The sequence below is a fragment of the Homo sapiens genome, chromosome 3, assembly GCF_000001405.40.
Source record: "Homo sapiens chromosome 3, GRCh38.p14 Primary Assembly".
NCBI lineage: Eukaryota > Metazoa > Chordata > Mammalia > Primates > Hominidae > Homo > Homo sapiens.
The window spans coordinates 180,161,410-180,169,009 of record NC_000003.12 but is presented as its reverse complement, the minus strand read 5'-3'; the positions used below and the strand labels follow the sequence as shown (position 1 = coordinate 180,169,009).

Genomic DNA, 7,600 nt, shown 5'->3' with positions numbered 1-7,600 from the left:
TACTTCTAGCTGAAGGAACAGTCTGGCAGCCCTGCTCATGGCGGACCTACCCTTGAACCAGCCCAATCACTGCATGCCCTCCCCCAAGAAGGAGAGGTATTGAGCCACCAAGCAGCTGATGCACCCCCAGGCTGGCACAGGAGCTATATTTGCATGCCCAGGGCATGAGACACAGCCACACAGTACCCACTCCACCCCCATGGACAAACCTCTGGCTTGTCCAAAGGCCCCAAGAAACAGCCCCATAGGCTTCCCTGGAATACACACCCTCAGGCTGACCAAGCAGCTGAGTGTATGTGTCCTGAGCCTGAGAAACAGCCCTGTGGGCTTTTCCTGGTGCACACACATCTAAGCAACTGAGCACCTGGACACCCATGTCCTGGGCCTGATAAGAAAGCCCCATAGGCCTCCTCTGTTAGGCATGTTCCCAGGCTGGCCAAGCAACCAGGCATCCATTCCCCCAACCAGAGTAACTGCCCTATGGCCCCAACCACAGCAAGCCAGACCCCAAATTGGCTGACCATTATGTGCAAACACATGTCCATGACCTTAGAAATAGACCAGCAAGCCCAACCTTGTCAAAGCTACAGAACCACTGCCACAAACTCTCTCAGCTTAGGTCATAAGGACACTCACAAACATCACTAGCATGGATTACAGCTGAAAAAAACTACATGTAGATTATACTACCACATCCATCTAGAATGAAAGCCAATGCACCCCACTGAATCAACCCCCAAGACCCATCTAAATAAATAAGTCTTTCCATACAAAATTTACTCCATAAAATTGGAAGAGGTGACTCTTACACCAGATGCGTAGAAATCATTGCGGAAGCACATCAAACACAAAGAAGCAAGGAAGCATGACACCTCCAGAGGAAAACAATAATTCTCCACTAGTAAACCACAGTTATAAGGAAATATACAAAATGCAAAAAAAAACCAAAATAATAATCATAGGAAAGAATCCAAACAGACAATTCAATGAAATCAGAAAAACAATTTATTATCTCAATGAGAAATTAAACAAACAGACAGATATTACTTAAAAACAAAAACAACAGAAATCCTACAGCTAAAGAACTCAATGAATGAAAAAAAACATACAATGAGGATCTTCAATAATAGACTAGACCAAGCAAAAGAAATAACTTTGAACTTTAAGACAGGTCTTTTGAAACAATACAGGCAGACCAAATAATAAATAAATAAATAAATAAATAAATAAACTTAAAAAGTCTTAAAATCTTTTATTATTATTATTATACTTTAAGTTCCAGGGTACATGTGCACAACATGCAGGTTTGTTACATATATATACATGTGCCATGTTGGTGTGCTGCACCCATTAACTCATCATTTACATTAGGTATATCTCCTAATGCTATCCCTCCCCACTCTCCCACCCCATGACAGGCCCTGGTGTGTAATGTGCCCCACCCTGTGTTGTCTGTGTGTTCTCATTGTTCAATTCCCACCTATAAGTGAGAACATTCGGTGTTTGGTTTTCTGTCCTTGTGATAGTTTGCTCAGAATGATCATTTCCAGCTTCATCCATGTCCCTACAAAGGACATGAACTCATCCTTTTTTATGGCTGCATAGTATTCCATGGTGTATATGTGCCACATTTTCTTAATCCAGTCTATCATTGATGGACATTTGGGTTGGTTCCAAGTCTTTGCTATTGTGAACAGTGCTTCAGTAAACTTACACGTGCATGTGTCTCTGAAAGTCTTAAGTCTTAAACTGCACCATAGACTAAATAGATCTAACAGACACAGAACATTTCAGCCAACAGCTGCAGATTACACATTCTTTTCATAAGAACCTGGAATATTCTCCAGGATTGACCATATGTTAGAACACAAAACAAGTCTCAAAAAAGTTTAAATAATAGAAATCTTATCAAGTATCTTATCTGACCACAGTAGAATAAAACTAGACATCAATAACAAGAGGAACATTTGAAACTACACAAATACAAGGAAATTAAACAGTATGCTCCTGAATGACAAAAGGGTAAAGAAAAAAATTAAAAATTAAATTTTAAAATTTCTGAAATAAAACTAGAAACACAACATACCACAACCTATGAGACACAACAAAAGCAGTAACAGAAGACAAGTTTATAGCAAGAAATGGCTAAATCAAAAACTAGAAAAAGGTTTTGTTTTGCTTTGTGTTTGGTTTTCCAAGATGGTAAATCAGAGGTGTTTAGCATGCCTCAGCCATTCGGAAATAGCAAAATGGTGCATAAAGATCAACTCAGTGAGCTTTAATTCAAGAAGGAAAAGAAGAGTCCACCAGAATCATGAAGGATAACCCAAATCCTAGAGAGAAGAGAACAGACAAACAGCCTCCATGACAGCATCTGGCTAATAAGAGTGTGTGAACTCCCAGTATACAAGAGAGGCAGAGAGCCTCTGTGAGCCAACTTTCCACTGGAGATCTGAGCAACCCAGGCCAAGGCAGAGCATTGTGTTTTTCCCAAGCTCTAGAGCTAACTTGGGGAAAGGGTTGGAGACACTGTAAGGGAAATAAACCAGGAAAAGCTGCAGGCACTTTCCCAAACACAGAAATGAATGCAGGATACCATCTTTAATCAAGGCACATATGAAGTCAACCATTCTTTGGACACCTGATAGCATGGCCAGGGAGGCATTTTATCTTGGGCCAGAGACTGGAACGTCTCCTCTGGAGTGGGATTGGGGCCTCCACAGCCAGAACTGTGGAAAGCACTTCAGCAGGTGCTAGAATTGTGTTCTCCTCTGTTATAAGCCTAGGGTGGGAGGGATGCTGCAGCAGCTGCAGTTTCTCCTGGGCAACAAGACTTGCAGCCAGGGCCAGAGTGGTGACCTGGAGCCAGTCTGTGTGTTTCATTTTTAAGTGCCCCAGCCTGCTCCTCCAAGATTATGGCACAGCAAGGACCTCTCTGCTGCATCTCCAGGAAGAAATTCGGGAATTCAGAGCACTCACTTGCTGGATCAGCAGCCTGAGCCACCCCACCCTTCCTGTGCATAGACTGTGGTAGAATGGGGGCACTCTCTACCCCAAACATAGGCAGATCTCTAGGCATTTGGAGCACCTGCTAGCATGGACCAGCAGCCTGAGTTGCCCCACTCTTCCTGTGCAGGAGGAGGTCCCTCTCTGCTTCATACCCAGGCAGATCTCTAGTCATTCAAAGCACCTGCTTTCCTGGTTTAGCAGCCTGAGTCACCCCACCCCTTCTGTGCAGAGATCTTGGTGCAGGGGGCCTCTCTTTGCTCCAAGCCCAGGCACATCTCCAGGAAATCATAGCACCTGCTCACCCAAATTGGCAGCTTGAGCCATCCCACCCTTCCTGTGCAGAGATCTGGGTCCAGAGAGTCTCTACTTCATGGTCAGGCACCTCTCCTTGGTTCAGCAGCCTTGAGTGCTTGGTTCTGTTGCCCCACCATTCATATGCAAAGTTTTCAGTGCAGGAAGGCCCTTTCCACTCCACACCCAGGCAGATCTCCAGGCATCTAGAACACCCATTCTCCTGGATTAGGAGTTTAAGCTGCCTCCTATCCCCATGCAGATAACTTGGGATTGAAGAAGTTTTCCAGCTCCACACCTAGGCACATCACTGGCCACTTGGTGACTGCCAACTGGATTTTCCCTTAGTGCTGGCAGTGACTATCAGGAAACCTGTAGGCAGATGTGCCCAGTCTGGCACTGCCCATCTAACCCCTGCCTTCCTGGGCTGAAGTGAGAGCTCAAGCCACTGTGCACTTGATAAATCAGCCCATTGCCTCAGGCAACAGAGAACTTCTCCCAGCAAACAAGGATCAAGTATATACCCAGCTGCATTGGCCATAGCCAGCTCTTAACCATCAAACAGCACAGCACAATATAAAGCCTGCCAACAGAAGTGCCTAGAATTACAGAAGCAAAACCAAAAGACCCCACCCAGCATTTTCTATAGTCACACTATCTAAGGAGAACGGATAAGGGAAAGGGAAAGAACAAGAGAGCAATAACATTATAGGGAAAGAAAGTAAAAGAAACAATCCTACGCACACAAAAATAATTACAAAGATTAAAAGTGCCAGCCTACCCAGATGAGAAAGGGCCAGCTCAAGAATTCTGGCACCTTGGAAAATCTGGATGTAGTGACACCACCAAAGGGACATCCTAACTTTCTAGCAGTGGTCCCTAAAAAAGAAACTCAGAAATGGCAGATAAAGAGTTCAGAGCATGGATTGCAAGGAAACTCAGTAAGATCCAAGACCAGGTTAAAAATAAAAACATAGAAACTTCTAAAGCAATCCAGGAAATGAAGGAAGAGATAAACATGTTAAAAAATCAGAGCTCCTGGAATTACAAAACTCACTTAATGAATTTCAAAATACAATAGACTGCACTAAGTAGAAGAAAGAATTTCAGAGCTTGAGGATTGGTCTTTTGAACTAATACAGTCAAAAACAAAAAATTTTTTAAAAATGAACAAAGTCTTTGAGAAATAAGAGATTATGTAAATTGACTAAACCTGTGAATTATTGGCATTCCTGAAGGAGCTAGAGAAAAATCAAGCAACCTGGAAAACATATTTGATGACATAATTCAACAAAATGTCCTAATCTTATTGGAGAGACAGACATCTAGATACAAGAAATCCAGAGGACACCTGCAAGATACTATAGAAAACAAACATCATCTAGGCATACAGTCATCAGACTATCCAAGGTCAGCACTAAAGAAAAAAAATCTTAAAGGCAGTAAGAGAAAATGGTCAGATCATGTACAAAGGGAACCCATTCAGGCTAACAGCAGTCTTTTCAGCAGAAACTTCATACGCCAGGAGAGATTGGGGGCCTATTTTCAGCATTCTTAAAGAAAAAAAAATCCAACCAAGAATTTCATATCCCACCAAACTAAGCTTCATAAGCAAAGGAAAAATAAAATATTTTTCAGACAAGCCAAGTGCTAAGGAAATTTATTACCACTAGACCAACCATATAAGAGATCCTTGGGAGAGTTCTAAACATGGAAACCAAAAAATAATACCTGCTACCACAAAAACACTCTTAAATACATTGCCCACACACCCTGTAAAGCAATCACGTGATAAAAACTCTAAAGCAACTCGCTAACAACTCCATGAAATGGTCAAAACCTAACATATCAATATTAACCTTGAATGTAATTAACCTTGAATGTCTAAACAGCCCACTTGAAAGGGACAAAGTGGCAAGTTTGATTAAAAAAAAAAGTCCATCTGTCCATCTCACATGTAGTGACACCCATAGGCTCAAAGTAAAGGACTGGAGAAAAATCTATCATGAAAATGGAACACAAAAAAGAGCTGGGACTGCTATCCCTTTACCAGATAAAATACACTTTAAACAACAGTAAAATAAATAAATAAATAAAGCAAGCACGTAAGCACATTACATAAGAACAAAGGATTCAATTCAGAGGAAGACTTAACTGTTCTAAATATATACACATCCAACATTGGAGCACCCAAATTCATAAAACAAGTACTCTTAGACCTGTGAAAAAAATGTAGATAGCCACACAATAATAGTGGGGAAATTCAATACCCCACTGACATTATTAAACAGATCATAAAGGCAGAAAACTACCAAAGAAATTACAGACTTAAATTCAACACTTGACCAATTGAACCTAACAGATACCTACAGAATATTCCAGTCATCAACCTCAGAATATACGTTCTTCTCATTGGCACATAGAACATACTTCAAGATTGATCAACCGTTCGACCACAAAGCAAACTGCAATACATTTTTTAAAACCTGAGTTATACCAACCACTCTCTCAGACCACAGTGGAATAAAAATAGAAATCAACACAAGATCTCTCAAAACCACACAATTACATGGAAATTAAACAATTTGCTCCTGAATGATTTTAGTAAACAATAAAATTAAGGCATAAATTTAAAAATTACTTGAAATAAATGAAAACAGAGACGTACCAAAGTCTCTGGGATGCAGCAAAAGTAGTGTTAAGAGGAAAGTTTATAATACTAAATACCTACCTCAAAAAGTTAGGAAGTTCTCAAATTAATGATCTCATGTCACACCTGGAGGAACTAGAAAAACAAGAACATGCAAAGAATCAACAAAACAAAAAATTGGTTCTTTAAAAGAATAAACAAGATCAATAAACCACTAGCTAGATTAACAGAGAGAGACAGAAAGAGAGAGAGACAATGCAAATAAGCACACTCAGAAATGACAAAGGTGACATTACAACTGACCCCACAGAAACACAAAAGATACTCAGAGATGATTATGAACACTTCTATGCACACAAACTAGAAAATCTAGAGGAAATGGATGAATTCCTAGAAACACAATCTCCCAAAATTGAATCATGAAGAAATTAAAACCCTGACCAGACCAATATCAAGTTCCAAAATTGAATCAGAAATAAAAAACTTACCAAAAAAAAGCTCAGATTAGATGGATTCATAGCTGAATTCTACCAGATGTACAAAGAAAAGCTGGTACCAATCCTACTAACAGTATTTCAAAAAATCAAAAATGGAGGGACTCCTCCCTAACTCATTGTACAAAGCCAGCATTACCCTGATACCAAAATATCACAAAGACACAACAAAAAAAGAAAACTTCAGACCAATATCCCCAATGAATATAGATGCAAAAATCCTCAAAAAATAATAGCAAACCAAACCCAACAGCACATCAAAAACTTAATTCACCATGATCAAGTAGGCTTCATTTCTGAGATGCAAGGTTGGTTCAACATATACAAATCAATAGATGTGATTCACCAACCACATAAACAGGATTAAAAACAAAAACCATACAATCATTTCAATAGATGCAGAAAAAGCTTTTGATAGCATCCAATATCTCATCTCTTCATAGTAAAAACGTTTAACAAACTAGGCATTGAAGGAACATACCTAAAAAACAAAAGAGCCATCTATTACAAACCCACTGCCAACATTATACCAAACAGGCAAAAATTGGAAGCACTCTCCTTGAGAAATGGAATTAGACAGTGATTGCTGTCTACGGCCATACCACCCTGAACGCGCCCGATCTCGTCTGATCTCGGAAGCTAAGCAGGGTCGGGCCTGGTTAGTACTTGGAAGGGAGACAGTGATTACTCGCTCTCACACTCCTATTCAATGTAGGGCTGGAAGTCCTTGATGGAGCAGTCAGGCAAGCCAAAGAAATAAAAGCATCCAAATAGGAAAAAAAGCCAAACTCTGTCTCTTCATGGACAATATGATTCTATACCTAGGTAACTATAAAGACTCTGCCAAAAGGCTCCTGGAACTGAAAAACAACTTCAGTAAGGTTTCAGGATACAAAATCCATGTGCAAAAATCGGTAGCATTAATATATACCAATAATGTCCTGAGAGCCAAATCAATAACACAATCACATTTATGATATCTGCAAACAAGCAAACTAGAAATACCTCTAACCAAGAAGGTGAAAGATCTCTACAGGGAGAACTACAAAACATTACTGAACAATATCATAGATGGCACAAAGAAATGAAAAAGCATTCCATGCTCATGGAATAAAAGAATCAATATTGTTAAAATGGCCATATTGACCAAAAAAAT

The 7,600-nt window shown here is 40.1% G+C and overlaps 1 pseudogene, besides 2 other annotated features; it reads left to right on the top strand.

Moving 5' to 3' along the window:
* Positions 2,597–3,097: an enhancer, noted in NCBI's record as "H3K27ac hESC enhancer chr3:179883701-179884201 (GRCh37/hg19 assembly coordinates)". NCBI's record gives its function as "activates a minimal SCP1, AML or CMV promoter by ChIP-STARR-seq in primed H9 embryonic stem cells {active_cell/tissue: H9 hESC(primed)}" and the evidence as "EXISTENCE:reporter gene assay evidence [ECO:0000049][PMID:30033119]".
* Positions 3,098–3,598: an enhancer, noted in NCBI's record as "H3K27ac hESC enhancer chr3:179883200-179883700 (GRCh37/hg19 assembly coordinates)". NCBI's record gives its function as "activates a minimal SCP1, AML or CMV promoter by ChIP-STARR-seq in primed H9 embryonic stem cells {active_cell/tissue: H9 hESC(primed)}" and the evidence as "EXISTENCE:reporter gene assay evidence [ECO:0000049][PMID:30033119]".
* On the top strand, positions 7,033–7,123 carry RNA5SP149 (RNA, 5S ribosomal pseudogene 149; annotated as a pseudogene).